The sequence below is a fragment of the Homo sapiens genome, chromosome 4 (genome assembly GCF_000001405.40).
Source record: "Homo sapiens chromosome 4, GRCh38.p14 Primary Assembly".
NCBI lineage: Eukaryota > Metazoa > Chordata > Mammalia > Primates > Hominidae > Homo > Homo sapiens.
In genome coordinates, this window is record NC_000004.12 from 146,019,086 (window position 1) to 146,038,109 (window position 19,024).

The 19,024-nt window shown below is 39.3% G+C and overlaps 2 annotated features.

Moving 5' to 3' along the window:
- Positions 11,142 to 11,361: an enhancer, noted in NCBI's record as "active region_21973". NCBI's record gives its function as "activates an Ori minimal core promoter by ATAC-STARR-seq in GM12878 lymphoblastoid cells {active_cell/tissue: GM12878}" and the evidence as "EXISTENCE:reporter gene assay evidence [ECO:0000049][PMID:35858748]".
- Positions 13,695 to 13,744: an enhancer, noted in NCBI's record as "active region_21974". NCBI's record gives its function as "activates an Ori minimal core promoter by ATAC-STARR-seq in GM12878 lymphoblastoid cells {active_cell/tissue: GM12878}" and the evidence as "EXISTENCE:reporter gene assay evidence [ECO:0000049][PMID:35858748]".

Below are 19,024 nucleotides of genomic sequence, written 5' to 3' on the forward strand. Positions count from 1 at the left end.
TTCTTGGCATCTTTGTCTAGTGAGTTCACTGTAGTTATATAGATTTATCTCTGGGTTCTTAATTCTGTTCCACTGATCTACGTGTCTGTTTTTATGCCAGTACCCTGCTGTTTCGGTTACTATACCTCTGTACTATGATTTAAAGTCAGTTAATGTGATTCCTTCCATTTTGTTCTTTTTGCTTCATATGGCTTTGGCTATTCTGGGTCTTTTGTGGTTCCACATACATTTTAGGATTATATTTTCTATTTCTGCGAAAAATGTCATTGGTATTTTCATAGGGTTGCATTAAATCTGTAGATTGCTTTGGATAGTATGGACATTTTAACAATATTGTCTCTTCCAATTTATAAACATGGAATATTGTTCCATTATTTGTGTCCTCTTTAATTTCTTTCATCCACATTTCATAGTTTTCATATAGTCTTCTCTCTTCTTAGTCTGACTAAACATTTGCCACTTTAGTTTACCTTTTCAAAAAACCAACTTTTTGTTTTGTTGATCTTTTGTATTGTTTTCTGTGTTTCAATTCTTTTCTTCTACTCACTTTAGGTTTGGTTTGCATTTGCTTTCCTAGTTTTTTAAGACGCATCATTAGGTTATTTATTTGACTTTTTTCTTCTTTTCTGATGTAGGCACTTATAGCTATAAACTCCTCCCTTAGTACTGCTTTAGCTGTATCCCATAAGTTTTGGTATGTTGTGTTTCCATTATCATCTGTTTCAAGAAATTTTTCAATTTCCTTTAAAAATTTGTCTTATTGACCCATTGGTCATTCAGAAACATATTTAATTTCCATAGCTTGTATAGTTTCCAGAATTCCTCATGTTATTGATTTCTAGTTTTATTCCATTGCAGTCAGAGAAGATGCTTGATATGATTTCAAAGTTTTTGAATGTTTTAAGACTTGTTTTGTGACCTAACATATGATATATCCTTGACAATGATCCATGTGTTGAGGAGAAGAATGTGTATTCTGCAGCTGTTGCATAAAATGTTCTGTAAATATCTATTAGGCCCATTTGGTCTATAGTGCAGATAAAGTTTGAAGTTTCTTTGTTGATTTTCTGTCTGGAAGATCTGTCCAATACTGAAAGTGGGGTATTGAAGTCTCCAGCTATTATTGTATGGGAGTCTCTCTCTCTTTAGTTCTAATAATATTTGCTTTATATATCTGGATGCTCCAGTATTGGGTGCATATATATTTACAATCCTTATATCCCCTTGCTGAATTGACCTCTTTATTATTATATAATAACCTTCTTTGTCTCTTCTTATAGTTTTTGTCTTGAAATCTATTTTTTCTGATGTAAGTATAGCTGGTCCTGCATTTTTGTGGTTTTCTTCGGAATGGAATACCTTTTTCTATACCTTTATTTTCAGTCTACATGTGTCTTACAGGTGAAGTCTGTTTTTTGTAGATAACAGATCATTGGACCTTGTTTTTAAAATCTTTTCAACCACTCTATGTCTTTTGATTAGAGAGTTTAATTCGTTTATAGTCAATGTTATTATCAATAAGTAAGGGCTTACTCTAGCCATTTTGTTGTTTATTTTCTGGTTGTTTTGTGGTCTTCTCCTTCTTTCCTTCCATTCTGTCTTTCTTTTAGGGAAGGTGATTTTCTATGATGGTATAATTTAATTTTTTGCTTTTCATTTTTTGTGTATTTATTGTATTATTTTATTTGAGCTTACTACAAGGCTTGTAAATACTGTCTTATAACCCATTATTTTAAGCTGACAAAAACTTAACACTGTTTACATAAACAAACAAGGAAAAAGAAAACTAATAAAAACTCTATGCTTTAACTTTGTCTCCCTGCTTTTTAACTTTTTATTGTTTCTATTTATATCTTATTGTATTGTCTACATCTTGAAAAGTTGTGGCTATTATATTTGATTGATTCATTGTTTTGTCTTTCTACTTAGATAAGAGTAATTTACACACCACAGTTATAAACACGCAGTGTTATAATTGTCTGTGTGTTTTCAGTGTACTTACTATTACCAGTGAGTTTTGCACTCATTATTCATTATGTCCTTTTCTTTCTCAGTGAAGTATTTCCTTTAGCATTTCTTATAGGACAGGTCCTATAATGATGAAATCCCTCAGCCTTTGTTTGTCTAGGGACATCTTTATTTCCCTCATGTTTGAAGGGTTTTTTTTTGTTGTTGTTTTATTGTTTTTTTGTTTTTTGTTTTTTTGTTTTTTTTTGGCCAGATATACCATTCTAGGGTAAAATGTTTTTCCTTCAGAACTATAAATATGTCATGCCACTCTCTCCTGGCCTGTAAGGTTTTCATTGAAAAGTCTGCTGCCAGATATATTGGAGCTTTATTGTATGTTATTTGTTTCTTTCCTTTTGCTGCTTTTAGGATCCTTTCTTTAACCTTGACAATTGGAAGTTTCATTATTAAATGCTTTGTGGTCATCTTCTTTGGGTTAAATCTAGTGAGTGTCCTATAACCTTCTTGTTCTTGGACATTGATGTCTTTCTCTAGGTTTGGGACTTTCTCTGTTCTTATCCCTTTGAATAAAATGTATACCCCTGTCTCTTTCTCTACCTCTTCTTTAAGGCAAATAACTCTTAGATTTTCCTTTTTGATGCTATTTTCTAAATGCTGTGGGTTTGCCTTATTATTTTTTGTTCTTTTTTCTTTTGTCTCTTCTGACTGTGTATTTTCAAATAGCCCGTCTTTAAGCTCAGTAATTCTTTCTTCTGCTTGATTGTTTCTGTTATTAAAAGACTCTGAGGCATTCTTCAGTGTGTCAATTGCATTTTTCCACTCCAGAATTTCTGCTTTATTCTTTCTAATTACCTTAATCTCTTTGTTAAATTTATCTGATAGAATTCTGAATTCCTTCTCTGTATTATCTTTAATTTCTTTTGAGTTTCCTCAACACAGCGAATTTGGATTCTCTGTCTGAAAGGTCACATATCTCTATTTCTCCAGGATTGGTCCTTGGTGTGGTGTTTTATTTAGTTTATTTGGTGAGATCATGACCTCACCATGGATGGTCTTGATGCTTGTGGATGTTCATCTATGTCTGTGCATAGAAAAGTTAGGTATTAATTGTAGTCTTTGCACTCTGAGCTTATTTGTTCCTGTCTTTCTTGGGAAGGTTTTCCAGCTATTTGAAAGAATGTAGGTGTTCTGATCTAACCCATATCTGCATTACAGGGCACCCCACACCCAGTGACATTGTGTTTCTTTCAGACTTGTAAAGGTACTGCCTTGATGGTCTTAGATAAGATCGGGAAGAACACTCTGGATTACCAGGCAGAGACCCTTGTTTTCTTCCTTTCACTCAAACAAATAGAGACTCTTTCTCTCTGTTCTGAGACACCTGGGGCTGGGGCTGGGGTGACACAAACACCCCCATGACAACCACCACTGGGACTGTACTAGGTCAGACCTGAAACCAGCACAGCACTTGATTTTGCCCAAGGCTCACTGTAACTACTACCTAGCTGCCACCTATGTCCACTCAAGGCCCTGATGATGTACAGTCAGCAGGTGGCAAAGGAGATAGGCTGGTGTCTTTCCCTTCAGGATGCTGAGTTTCCTTAGGCCCCAAGCAGGTCCAGAGGTGCCATCCAGGAACCAGGGCCTGACATCAAAAACCTTAGAAGTCTATCTGGTGCTATATTGCACAATAGCTGAGCTGCCACTCAACTCACAAGATGCAGTCCTTCCCACTCTTCCCCCACTTTCCACAGGCAGAGGAGCCTCACCTCATGGCTACCACCACAGGCCCAAAGGGAGTACCCCCAGGCTACTGCCAATATCTCCCTTAAGGCCTAAGGGTTCTTCAGTCACTTTGTGGTGAATGCTGCCTGGCCTGTGACTCTTCAGGGCTGTGGGCTCCCTCTGGTCCAGGGAAGGTCCAGATATGTTATTCAAAAGCCAAGGCCTAGAATCAGGGACCCCAAGAACCCACTTGGTGATCTACTCTACTGTGGCCAAGCTGGTACTTCAGGTGCAAGACAAAGTCCTCTTTACCTTTCCTTCACTTTTCTCAAGCAGGAGGAGTTTCTGCCCATAGCCACCACAGCTGGAAATGTACTGAGTCTTACCTGAAGCCAGCAAGTCTCAGAGTCTCACCCAAGGCCTACGGCATACTACCTGGGTATTACTGCTAATTGTTCAGGGCCCAAGGGTTCTTTAGTCAGCAGGTGATGAATCCTTCCAGGACTCGGTCCTTCCCTTCAAGGCAGCAGGTTCTCTTCTGGCCCAGGGTGTGTCTAGAAATGTCCTGAAACTAAGGCCTGGATGGAGGCCTCATAACTCTGACTTGTGCTCTATCCTAATGTGGCTGAGCTGGTATCAAGATGCAAGACAAAGTCCTCTCCATTCTTTGTTCTCCTCCCCTCAAACAGAAGGGAGGGGTCTCTTTTGGAGCTGTGAGCTGTGCAGACACCTGAAAGGTGTCTCCCTAGGTCACATGCCCCTCAGTTCACTGGCTCAGAGCCCAGTTCAGCCCTAGGACTTGCCTATGAGTTGCAGTCCTTGTGGCCCAGACTGCCTTTTGAGTTTATTTAGGACTCCAGAGCACTTTAGCTCACGGTGGAAAGCCTTGCTGGAACTCAAGTTCTGACCACTGGGATGGGCGATGCTCCTCTGCTTAGGACTGGTTTAAATACTTCCTCTGTGGGCAGGTGTCAGAGGAGTTCAGCTCAGTTTTGCTTTCTGTTGTGACAGAGCACTACTGTGTTCAATGCAATGTCTCACAATTGCTGTGCTCTCCTTCTCCCAAGCACACAGATTTCCTCTCCACACCACATGGCCACTGCTGGGGCTGGGGGAGGAGAGGTGTCAGCAATTCAAGACTGTCTCCTATTCGCCTCACTACCTCATTCAGTGATATGAAGTTAAAACCAGGTACTGTGAATGCTCACCTGATTGTTGGTTCTTATGAAGGTGTTTTTTGTGTGTAGATAGTTGTTAAATTGTTGTCCTTGGGGGAGGGGAGATATTGGTGGAGGCTTCTATTTTGTCATCTTGCTCTGCACCTTCTCCTCAAAGCATTCTTAATTGAATGAAACATGACCAAATGATCACCTCATCTGGGATCTTCCCTCCACGCCTCCAGGTTATTAATGTATCATGTGTATTTGCAAATTATTTTATTGTACGTATCCCCCAGAGCTATATTAATTGCTTTCTCATTTATCTGCTAGGTATTGAGCTTGGAAGTGCAGGGCCAATGTCTTGTTTCTCCTGAATATTTAGCATCATTCCAGGTCCATACTCAATACTCAAAAAATGATTGTTGAGTGAAGGGAAGACATAGTCTCCCCTCTGTGACAGACACTGATTGTTGTCTTTCCCCTGCCGCCTGTCCCCATAGCCATACTATCCTCTGGCTGCAGCACTCTTCCTATCCTGCTCTATCCCTAATGTGCCCACTCTCCTTTCCCCCTCATTCCCCAGAGCACCACTACCATAGGGTATTGGGTATAGTCACTTAAGTGTAAGCCTGTCACGCTCAGTAAGAGTTTCAGAGTGATGCATGGAGATTTTAGCATAGCTGAGAACAGAGTACAACTTAAAATGAAGTTCCATATTAGACATCACCATCTGAAATTCTTCAGTGATTTGTACCATGGAGTATCTCATATTGGTTGTCTTTCTCTGCAGGGCCTGGCCTGCTGCCATTTTCTCTCTCAATTTCTCTCTCTTTCCCATTCTTTCTCTCTCCCCCCAGAAACCTCCTTTTCTTCTCCTTCATTTTAGAACACACTATCTGTATTTCCTCACTTCATTATGTAAATATATTGACAAATTTAATTCTCAAGGTCTTTCCAAATCAGGTCTGGACTTACTTTTGAATCTCAATGGTATCTTGTTAAACAAAAGTGTCATCTAACTCTGATGACACTTGGCACAAGGTTTTCGTTTATTTGTTTGTTTGTTTTGAGACAGTCTTGCTCTGTTGCCCAGGCTGGAGTGTAGTGGCACAATTATAGCTCAATGTAACCTTGACCTCCTGGGCTTAAGTGATCATCCAACCTCAGCCTCCCAAGTAGCTAGGACTATAGGCACATGCCACTGCATCCAGTTAATTTTTAACATTTTTTGTCTATATGGGGTATCACTACATTGCTAAGACTGGTCTCAAACTTCTGGCCTCAAGCAATCCTCCCGCCTCGGCCTCCCAAAATGCTGGGATTATATGCATGAGCCACTATGCCCAGCTCTTGGCAGAAGTTTTGAAATTCATTTTTCGTCTACTAATGCAGGTTCTTCAGCAGGGTTTATTGGAACCTGTAATCTGTGGGCTAGAGGTGGAATGGAGGTGGAGCGGTTCTTATTCTTGCTACAGATAAAAAAAACCATGATGATTTATCTTAGAAAAGAAAAAGCTAAGGAACAGTTTAATAGTCTTCAAATAAAAATTTTATTAGTATCTTGAGAGAGGAGAGTGGTGGCTCTGATAATCCTAAATTTATGAACAACTTTGAAATGTGTATGTTTGCACACTTGACTTAGCTAATTTTATAAAGAGTTTGTATTCACCTGGTTTTTGAGAATATGCTATCTAGGTCAGAAAAGGAGATGGTGCTGTGGTAATGTACAGGGTAACAGAGAAACTTAATTTAGGATTACAAAAAATGCCACAATGTGGATAATTAAGAGCTAGCTGTCCAAGAAGAGATATTATGTAATCATTCTTCAACCCCAGGAGCAACAGAAGTGGGACGAGAGAAGAGAAGAGTGAAGAAGCAGAGGTGTTCTGTTTTTACTCTTGTGGTGATAAAATGTTCTGCAATCTCTGCTGAGGGGTTTCCTGTCCCTTTAAGCAAAAGGATCACATCACAAAGTGTTTCCATGCCAGCTTTTGACTATCTTAGTTCACTCAGCTGAAATGATGGCTTTAGAAGCTGGTAGTACAGTGTAGACATACAGAGCCTACTTCAGCCAAGGACAGTGTTCCTTGGAATAGCTTCTACTGAGCTTCTGAGAACTAAACCAAGATACCATGTGCTGAATTCTTCCCCTCACCACCTCCCATATGTTGTTTTCCTGAGGTTGGCATAGAATGAACACACAGCCAGAGAAATAAGAAAAGTAAGACCATCCTGCTGCCCTACAAGAAGAAAAGGCATGATTTAAAAAAACTCAGGTTGTAAGGGCATTTAGAGTACCCTGTTCCCCACAACATACTTGCTACCTCCACCCATGTGTCTGCCAAGGAAAAAAGAACCAGGCTAAATAGTTAATGGAGTGACCTAGGATGTAGCCAAAGTTTAGCTCAGTGTGGGTCTGAACTGGACTCCATCCAAGGCAGCAGGTTTTATAGAGTCTGCAAGAATTAAAGAGAAGACATGAAGGCTACTTTGGGAGTAGAGAGGCAAGGGGATAAGGTAGGTGGGTAGAAAGAAAAGAGTGTGGGAATCACATGACTCATCATGATAATGGCTATCATCAAGGTCTTACCTTTGGTTAGAAGTGGTGGGTACCTAGGTGCTTATGATATTATTAAAAACAATTAAACAAATAGGCAAAAGCAGGTTATAAATGAACCAATGATGGGGATGTGCCATGAATCAAGGACTATGATAAATCCAATGCCAAGCTCCTGAGATCAAAAGGGGAATATGATAGAGATTCATTCTCTTTCATAGTGCCGTTGAGTTTCTGACCCATATGTTAAAACTTCAAAATATTGAAAGGAATTTAGGAGAGAATGCACTGCATTGTCTGTGGCAGGTGATCCTCACAATGAATCTATGAATGTCCAGATGGTGCAATCTCACTCGATCCTCTCAAACAGTCCATGGATTTGGTATTATGTCCATTTCACAGATGAGGGAACCAAAGCTCAGAGAGATTAGATACTGTGCTTGAGGTTGCAGGGATAGGAAATGGTGTCATCAGGTTTATAACCTGGGTCTGCCTCCCGAAGCCTGAGGTAGCTCTCCGTTCTGCCATGTGACAAGTCAGTGGACCTGTGGAGAATGAGTGTTGGGTGGGCAAGAGTGTCATCCCTCCTCTCCCATGGGTCTGAATCTGGTGCCAGGTGTGTGGGCAGTATCTGTACTTTTACAATGATTCTTTCATACACTAAAAGCATAATCATCACCATCATCAGCATCATCATCATCATCACTCCTCCTCCTCCTCCCTCCATATTATGGACAGGCTCAAAATACCCAGTTTCTCAGAAGTCTTTGTTGTGGGTAATAAAAATACTTTTCCTAAAAACCAACTTTTATAAGTTTCTAATGTGAAACAATAGTTAACCCACGTCTCATAATCATCTGTCAGCCACAACATCAAAAACAACAATAATAACAGCAAAATATCACAATAGATATACAGCACTCTCAGGACTTGCAAGATGAAAATATGGTCACAAACTAGACTCAGTCCACAACACAAGGTCTTGTGATCTCTGTTTAGAGTCCTCATTACAGTGTCCTTTCAAATAGCCAGGCTTCAGCCTTTAATAGGTTTTGAAATCAATTTAGTGGGTCTTAGTATTTAAAAAATAGACTTTTGAATTAATCTACATTTTAAGGGTAAGTATTGTTTTGTAAGGTTTTTGTTTCAGTTCTATAGGTGTATATGTGTGTGTATGTGCATGCATATGCACATGTGTGTGCACTGCGTGTACACTTCTTACTGTGGTTATTTATCATAAGGACTTAAAGGCCCTGCTGCTGGGAGCATTAATGAATGCCTCTGAGGAGTTAATGAAAAGGTAGCTGGGAGGGTTCCCTGATCTTGTGCACCCATACAGACCATGAACACCTTCACATGCAGGATTTAAAACCATACTTCACAGGGCTAGAATTAGATATTGAGGCAAATCATGAATGCATGGCACTTTAAAGCAGATGACACCTGGGTATAATTTGGAAGATGAATGGTCAGCTAGGGAGTTGGGCTGGACAGAGCCATTCAGACCAAGTAATTGCAAGAGTTATAAAAGGGTAGGGAATGTTACGCCTTTAGAAATATTGTGGCCTAACTGCTACCTCACTGTCTTTAGATACATTGGGAAAGAATTTCTTCTACTTCTTATAGACAGTAATTATTTATTACTCCTTTTAAGAGTAATTTCACACACAAACACACACACACACACATATATATTTATCTCCAAAGTACCAATAAATAACACCAACAGCAGGAATTTTCATGGTTATTGTCTACTGGGTGTCAGGCACCCTATTAGGTGCTCTCCTGCATTATTTTTAATCCTCTCAAAGACCTTACAAGATTGTTCTTGTGGAAGTTTTACATATCAAAGAAGAGCAGCTATTGGTTTTGAGGAATTAAAGGGAAAGACTAGCTGGTTGTTCATGCACAAGACTCATAGGATTCCATTAACTTGGTGACTTTAACCGTGTCTTTAGCTCTGCAGGTTCAGACACCCACGTTTGTCAACAAGCTGAGAGTTGGTATCTCAGATATGGGTCATGTTATCCAGTGGAGGTGTGGACAACCAAAATGTCTCCTGATTAACCTATGATGACAATAAATGTGACACAGCCTGACCAGCCCATGGGAACTCATAACGCAATTAAAAGTTTGCTTGGTGAATGTTGATTTTAAAAAGGGGATGGTAGGTGACTATACAGGTTTAATTTTATCAGGTAAGAATGGCTTGAAGTGAGGTTACCAACCTTTACCTTTTACCTCAGTAGTTTCTCAGTGAGAAGAACAGACCCAGGGAACTTTTTGACATAAGAGTGATAGGCTCTGCCCCCAAAGCTCCAGTGCTCAGAGCTAGAGACTTCCACTTGGGCTTGAGCTAAAATGCTGGCCTTTGATATCTCATCCAGACTGAAGATAGGGCAGAGCCAACGTGACTTGCTTGCCTGCATGCACTATGAGAAACTGGAGCAGAAGGAAAGCAAAAGGAAGCCTGCTGAGGAGCTGAGGTACGAGGGCCCCGAGACTGGGCAGGCCAATCAAAGAAGGTGAAAGAGTGTGCACAAGCAATGCCCCGACTCCATCACCCCACCTTCTGATATGTAAAGCCAAGTGGTTGGTATGCTGTCTTGAGTCAGATTAGCTACTCTTACCCTGGTGAGAGAAGAATGAAAGGAGGGACAGAGAGACAGCATGCGTCAGTTCACATGTTCCCTAAAATGGTCTGCAAGTTGGATGGGGGGAAGTTCTCTCATCTGGAGCCTGAGGTGGAAATATGGGAAGAAGAATAACAATGTCTACAAAAGGGCAAGCACTGCTCTTGGCCAGGAGATGGGTATCTTTGACCAAGATGCAATTTTTTTTCCCTGAGCTGTTCTTAGATTGACTCATCAGCTTGCTCTGGAACCCCATAAAGGCAGGAGCAGAATTTGTTCATGCTCTTAGCACAGTGCTTAGCAAACTCTCAATGTATGTATGGAATACCTGCTTTTACTTCTCCTTTTTCTTCTTTCATGGTGTCGAACCGTACCTTAAATTGACTATTATTCCTTTAGTTGTTTTATTTTCCTCAATCAGATTACTAGGTTCAACATGACGACTTTGCACATCTCTGCTCCATACAATATGTATTGATTTTGTTGTTTAGCTCTTGGAGGACAACCTCATTTTCCTTCCTGATACCAAGTTCTTTAGGGACACATTTCCCTATAGCTGTCAAGAACCTGCTGTCTCATTCCCATCCTACAGTCATTTAAGAGCAAAGCCAAAGTTAAGATCTGAGGTCACAGGAAAAAAAAAAAGATGTTATAGGATGTACTGTTTGAACAACTCCTGTTAGATGTTAGTGTTTCACAGAACTCATCAGAGAAACCCAAGTTTTCACAAAACACTACATTTATTTCCACCTCCCACAGCAGTTATCTTGCCCAAGAGAGGAAATTGTTTCCAATTTACACATGGTAAAGGACACCTCCTGAAAATTTCCCTTTGGGGCTAGGAATTTAATCTTACTACTGGGTTAATGCATTTATTTGGGTGGCTTTTTAACCTAAATAAGTGAGCAGTACTTCCTCCCACCATCACTTTCATAATTGCTGTGAAAAGAAGCCCTCGTGGGGGTTGCTGCAGAGACAGCCTGGGGAAACCCCGTGAAGTTAAATGCGCTGCTTGAAAACACAGACACCCGGTTCTAGCTGCTCCAGCCCTGAGCCATTAGATTTGGTCGTCAAGGAGCCCAGCAGGGCAAAGGTCAATTTCTCTTTGCTTTTTTCTTCCACTTCCTGTTCTTCCACTTTTTCCATTGTCTTCTCACAGCTATCCCAGGCTCTCTCCTTCTTTTTCTCTTGTCTTTTCATATTCTCAAAAAACAGGATAACTTTCAAAGCCTTTCCTTTCTTTTCTCACTCTATCCACATCCCCTCGGCTGTTCAAATGCATAGAGTTCACCCTTAAGCTAAGGAGACAGTGCAAATTTTATAGTAAGAATGTAGGCTAAGAAGCCAGACTTCCTGGGGCTGAATCCCAGTTGCTTGGGAGAGTTACTGAATCTCTCAGGACCTCAGTTTCTACATCTATAAAATGGGAATGATACTAGTAGTTCTTATCCTATAAGGTTATTATGAGAGTCAAATCAGTTAATATATGTAACGTGATTAGGAATGTTATGTAACGTATATAAGAGTGTTTGCTGGGAAAAAACAACAACAACATGTCACAAGTGGGTAAGAATGAAAATGGGCTTAGAACAGAGATCACATTCCACCCTCTGTCCCTTTGATTAAGGATAGGGGTTTGGCTGCATCTGCTTTTCTTCCCCTAAAATATCCACGTATTCTAAAACTCTGAGTATGTTTTTTGTGTAAACTGAACATAGTTCAGAACTTTTTTCTCAGCTACCATTTTCTTTTTGGAGAGTGATAAACTTGATCTCTTTTGTGAAGAGCTATTTCTGGCTAGCTTTAACATAATGTTTAAATTAATGACCATTTGTTTATGCCCATGATGTATAAGCTAAACAACTGCCCCTGCATTCTATAATTCCAGTCCCAAGGAAGGGGAAAAAAAATGCCAGGATAGCATGGGGAAGAAAATAGCCATCATCACCAACCCACCAGAAAATCTCCCTCCTCTCATATTCACTCTTTAATTACAGAACTGCATTTATGTACACATTTGGAGAATTACATGTTTATATGTCTTGTCTCCTCTTGATCATAAGGTAGTGTCTGTTCCATCTTATGTATTCTTGGTGCTCAGAACAGTGCTACACTTACCTGTGGGTGTAAAGTACAATTTGCTGACAAACTATAAAGCAATATAAATAGATCATATATTAGACTAGTATTAAAGGTTTTAAAAATAGTCTATTTTAAAAATATAGTTTGTGAAATTTATGAGTTTTAAATGGCAAAATTTAAAAGAATTAAATAAAATGAGAGTGGTTTCCATTTTTTGAATCACATTTTCTGCTTTTATTCCCATATGCCCGTAAAAGGGATTATATATATAGTAGGTGTGAAGCACTTATGTAAGGTATATGTATATAAGGTATATGTATGTGTGTGAGGTATGTGTGTGTGTGTATGTGTGTGTTATGTGTGTGAATTAAGCTGTCAAGTCAGCACACACAAGGAGAAAATCATGTACAGAATTGCCTTAGAAAATTGCATATATCCCAGAAACTCAAACACGAAGATTTAGCTTCTTTTGCTTCTATTTACATTTCTCTGTAGTCTCATTCTCTGTGGAGCACTGAAGGATAGAGAGAGTCTAGTTTGAAAGGGAGAGTACATGCAACAGGGTAAGAATTTTTTTTTTTTACTTTTTTTATGCATTAAGATTTATGAAAATAAAATTCTTTTAAAATGCAACTTCACAGTGTGTGTGCACATATGTGTAAATGTCTATTATATATACACTTATACATATATACACGTATATATACACTATATATACACACACACACACACACTCACACACATATATATATGTGTATGTATATTTTTGAGACGGAATCTCTGTTGCCCAGGCTGGAGTGCAATGGCACAATCTCAGCTGACTGCCACCTCTGCCTCTCAAGTTCAAGCGATTCTTTGCCTCAGCCTCCTCAGTAGCTGGGACTACAGGTGCCTGTCACTATGCCTGGCTAATTTTTGTATTTTTAGTAGAGATGGGTTCCACCGTGTTGGCCAGGCTGGTCTCAAGCTCCTGAGCTCAAGTGATCCAGCTGCCTCAGCCTCTCAAAGTGCTGGGATTACAGGTATGCACCACTGTGCCTGGCCTGCCTGTGGTATGTTGTAATCTATACACTTTTATTTTTATTAATTATTTCACATAATTTTTACAACAGATCTGAAAACAAGGTTTGCATTTACAGATCAGGAAACTAAGAGCATTGAAGTGATTTTCTCTGTGGTCAGTGATGGTGCTAGCTTAGAACTGGGCAAACAAGCTTACACTTTGATGTTTACCCACTAGCACTACTTCCCTCAAAGCTGATCACAAATCATAATCGTGAAAGAAGCTTTGAAACTACAGATCTACAACTTCCTTTTGTAGGACTGGAAGGGACCTTAATTAAGACCCTTCTCTTTACAGAGGAGGGAACTGAAGCCCAGGGATACCGGAAGAGTTGGCCCGGGTCACATCGTGGTGATTGGAAGGACTAAGAGAGCAAGCCTGGCTCTTGACTCCCAGGCCTTTCTATACCCCGCCTCCTGCTGCCCCGGCCAGGAGGCTAGATCTCAGAATGCAGTCAGAAAAATCCTTCACTGAGAGGACTAGATTGCAGCTCTGAACAGAGCAGCATGTGGAGGCGTGCATTGTGAATTTTAGCTCCAGATCAACTGCAAGAATAAACCTGCAATCCCAAGAGGACCCACAAACCCTCTGAAGGAAGCAGACTGCTCCCGCAGGACCTAAGAGACACCCCAAATACTGTGAGTGCCCCAACTGCGGAAGTGGAAAAGGAAGACCCTCCTCTCCTGAACACACACCCCCACTGGAGAAGCTGAAGGTCTGTTTGTGGGAGAAGTTTCCAACTTAACTGGAGCTGAGTCAAGTTAGAGAGCCCAGCAAAATGCAGGGGTAGAAGAAGCAGCAAGGCCCTGGGAGCTCTCTGGGTCTCCAAGCAGCCCATTCCTCTCTGGTACCATAGGGATCCACTGGGAGGGTGGCTAGAGGAGCAGAGGGTAAAACTCCATGGGGAGAAGGAATTCTCTAGCTGAACTTTGTAAGTTTGAACAGGGCAAGAAGCCTCCTGGCCAGAACTCAAGGGAGGGTGTGAATCCGGTGTGCAGACTTCACAGGTGGGAGAGAACTAAAGCCCTTTTCTCTCGCAGCTGGGAAGCAGATAGCCTTGGGCAAATTTCCAAGTCCGTCTTGCCCTGACCTGGAAACAGACTCCCGGCTGCTGTTGAGGTCACAGTGAGAGTGAGACCGGCCCTTCAATTTGCATGGGATCTGGGTGAGGCCAGTGACTGCTGGGTTTTCCCCACTTCCCTGACAACCTGCATGACTTAGCAGAGGCAGGCATAATCCTCCTTGGTACACAACTCCAGTGACCTGGGAATCATGATCAAGTGGGTTTCATACCAGGGATGCAGGGATGGTTTAACATACGCAAGTCAATAAATGTGATACACCATGTAAAGAGAATTAAAAACAAAAATCACATGAACATCTCAACAGATGCAGAAAAAGCATTTGACAAAATCCAGCAACCTTTATGATTAAAACTCTCAGCAAAATTGGCATACAAGGGACATACCTTAATGTAATAAAAGCCATCTATGACAAACCCATAGTCAACATAATACTGAATGGGGAAAAGTTGAAAGCATTTCCTCTGAGAACTGGAACAAGACAAGGATGGCCACTCTCACACTCCTCTTCAACGTAGGTACTGGAAGTCCTAACAAGAGCAATGAGACAAGACAAAGAAATAAAGGGCATCCAAATCTGTAAAGAGAAAGTCAAACTGTCACTGTTTGCTGATGATATGATTGTTTACCTTGAAACCCCTAAGGATTCCTTCATAGAACTGATAAAAGAATTCAGCCAAGTTTCTGGATACAAGATTAATGTACACAAATCAGTAGCTCTTCTATACAACAACAGCAACCAAGCAGAGAATCAAATCAAGAACTCAACTCCCTTTACAATAGCAAGAAAAAAAAAAAAAAAAACTTAGGAATGTACCTGACAAAGGAGTCAAAAGACCTCTACAAGGAAAACTACAAAACATTGCTGAAAGAAATCATAGATGACAAAAACAAATGAAAACACTTCCCATGCTCATGGGTGGATAGAGTCAATATTGTGAAAATGACCACACTGCCAAAAGCAATCTACAAATTCAATAGAATCCCCATCAGAATACCACCATCATTCTTCACAGAATTAGAAAAAACAATTATAAAATTCATCTGGAACCAAAAAAGAGCTCGCTTAGCCAAAGCAAGACTAAGCAAAAAGAACAAATTTGGAGGCATCACACTACCTGATTTCAAACTATACTGTAAGGCCATCATCACCAAAACAGTATGGTACTTGTATAAAAACAGGCACATAGACCAATGGAACAGAATAGAGAACCCAGAAATAAACCCAAATACTTCCAGTCAACTGATCTTTGACAAAGCAAACAAAAACATAAAGTGGGGAAAGGACACCCTTTTCAAAAAATGGTGCTGGGATAATTGGCTAGCCACATGTAGGAGAATGAAACTGGATCCTTATCTCTCATCTTATACAAAAATCAACTCAAGATGGATTAAGGGCTTAAACCTAAAACCTGAAACTATAAAAATTCTAAAAGAAACATTGGAAAAACCCTTCTAGACAATGGCTTAGGCAAGGATTTCATGACCAAGAACCCGAAAGCAAATGTAATAAAAACAAAGGTAAATAGCTGGGACCTAATTAAACTAAAGAGCTTTTGCATGGCAAAAGGAACAGTCAGCAGAGTAAACAGACAACCCACAGAATGGGAGAAAATCTTCACAATCTATACATCTGACAAAGGACTAATATCCAGAATCTACAACAAACTCAAACAAATCAGTAAGAAAAAAACAAATAATCTAATCAAAAAGTGAGCTAAGGACATGAATAGACAATTCTCAAAAGAAGATATACAAATAGCCAACAAACTTATGAAAAAATGTTCAACATCACTAATGATCAGGGAAATGCAAATTGAAACCATAATGCGATACCACCTTACTCCTGCAAGAATGGCCATAATCAAAGAATCAAGAAACAGTAGATGTTGGCGTGGATATGGTGAACAGGGAACACTTCTACACTGCGGGTGGGAATGTAAACTAGTACAGCCATTATGGAAAACAGTGTGCAGATTCCTTAAAGAACGAAAAGTAGAACTACCATTTGATCCAGCAATCCCAGTACTGGGTATCTACCCAGAGGAAAAGAAGTTATTATTCGAAAAAGATACATGCACATGCATGTTTATAACAGCACAATTCACAACTGCAAATTCGTGGAACCAACCCAAATGCCCACCAATCAATGAGTGGATAAAGAAACTGTGGTATATATATAGCATGTATATATATATATATACACACACACACACATATATACAGTATATGTATACATATACTGTATATATGTATATATACATATATACACTATATACAATGTATATATATACACTATATACAATGTATATATATACACTATATACAATGTATATATATACACTATATACAATGTATATATATACACTATATACAATGTATATATATACACTATATACAATGTATATATATACAGTATATACAATGTATATATATACAGTATATATAATGTATATATATAGTATATATAGTGTATATATACAGTATATATGTGGTATATATACACCACAGTTTCTTATATACTGTATATATATACACTATATATACTATATATATATTTACTGTATATATAGAAACTATATATATAGAAACTGTATATATATAAAAAGAAACTGTGATATATATGTACATATATATGATGGAATACTATGCAGCCATAAAAAGGAATGAATTAACAGCATTTGCAGTGATCTGGATGAGATTGGAGACTATTATTCTAAGTGATGTAGCTCAGTAATGGAAAATCAAACATCATACGTTCTCACTGATATGTGGGAGCTAAGCTATGAGGACGCAAAGCCATAAGAATGATACAATGGTCTCTGGGGACTTGGGGGGGGAAGAGTGTGGGGGGAGAGGGATAAAAGACTACAAATTTGGTGCAGTGTATACATAGGTGATGGATGCACCAAAATCTCACAGATCACCACTAAAGAACTTACTCATGTAACCAAATAACACCTTTACCCCAATAACTTAGGGAAAAATAAAAAAGAAAAATCCTTTGCTGAGAAACATTAAGACTAGAATGCTAAGAAAAAATATTAACAGTTCCATAGGAAAATGACAAAGAGCATGCATAGATAATTTATGAAGAAAGAGCAAAATTTTTAAAAAAGTTTCACCTACGTTGTCAAGTAAGCAATGCAAATTAAAAGAAAAACCATTTAGACTCAGTTGACAATGACTTTTTTAAGCTAATACTCATTGCTTTAAAGGATGGGCCTTGCTGTATGACTGAAAGACATTCTTGTAGCTGGTAGAAGTAACACCATTACACTCTCTCAAGAAAGCAATTGAGATGTAGAACAATTGTGTATGTAGAACCTTAAAAATATTTAAGACTTTTGATCTAAACAATCAGAATTCTAGGGAAGTTTTCCAAAGATAATCAGGTATGTGGCCAAAGAATATTAGATGCAACATTATTTATAATATTAATCATTGAGTAAAGGATTGGAAGGGAATCAGTCAGAGGCTTTCATTTCTGGATAGTGAGTCTTGGAACATGCTCATAGTAAGGTTTGCACTTTTGTTTATTTGTTGCTCAAATAAGCAAATGAATAAATTGTGAGATTATGGATAATTTAAATTTTCTTCTGCATAGGTACAATGGGGATGTATTCTTTTTATTACAATAAAATTAACCGTTATGAAAAACTTGCAGCATGTTGACACTAACTGAACAAGATAGAAAAAAAATCCTAGTATTTTTGTTCAATATCCTTCATTTTTACCACTTTCTTTTGGTATCTCTGGGCTTGAGTTCCCTCCTCTGTAAATAGAAGGAACTTAATTAAGGTCCCTTCTAGCCTTAAAAAAGGGAGTTATAGATCCATTCCTACTCAGTCATCTTGGTTGATAGAATTCTTCCTTCATTAAGATCCTCTGCTAAAGAGCACCCTCAAAATTAGTCATTTTAAAAAGCTCTTCCCAGTTTTGCAGAGACATTTTTGTTTTGCTGAATGACTTTTGGACAAGCACTAGACTTGTGTCATTTCCACGTGAACAGAAACATCTGTTTTCCAGAGGGTCGACTGTAGTTAGTGCTGTGTCTGTGCTGCTGTGTCTCTGCGTAACCCAATTGGCCTGCACGAGAATAGGACTTTTCATCTCATTCTCATTGGTTTCTACATTAACCAAGTCACTTCATATGTACTAGAGGCTATGGTGGGAACTCTCAGTGTAAGGCTATGGATGGTTCAGCTCAACCCATTTCTTATTTCTGAAAAACAATTTGAAGCATGCAGCCTATGACTGGAAGGCAACTGAATTATGTTCATAGAAGGGCAGCTTGATTTCTTTCCATAGTATCCTTCCTTCCCTTCCTTCCTTCCTTCCTTTTTTCCTTCCTTCCTTCCTTTTTTTTTTTTTGAGACAGAGTTTCACTGTTGTCACCCAGGCTGGAGTGCAATGGCACAATCTCGGCTCACTGCAACTTCCACTTCCTGGATTCAAGGAATTATCCTGTCTCAGCCTCCTGAGTAGCTGGGATTACAGGCACCCACCACCACACCCAACTAATTTTTGTGTTTTTAGTAGAGACCGGGTTTCACCGTGTTGGCCAGGCTGGTCTTGAACTCCTGACCTCTGGTGATCTGACCATCTTGGCCTCCAAAAGTGCTGGGATTACAAGTGTGAGCCACTGTGCCCAGCCGTATCCTTTGTTTAGAAAGTAAAAAATAAGTTGCTATGTGTCATCACCAAGTACGGGCAAATTGGTGCAGAAATTATAAAAGAGCAGATCTCTTTAT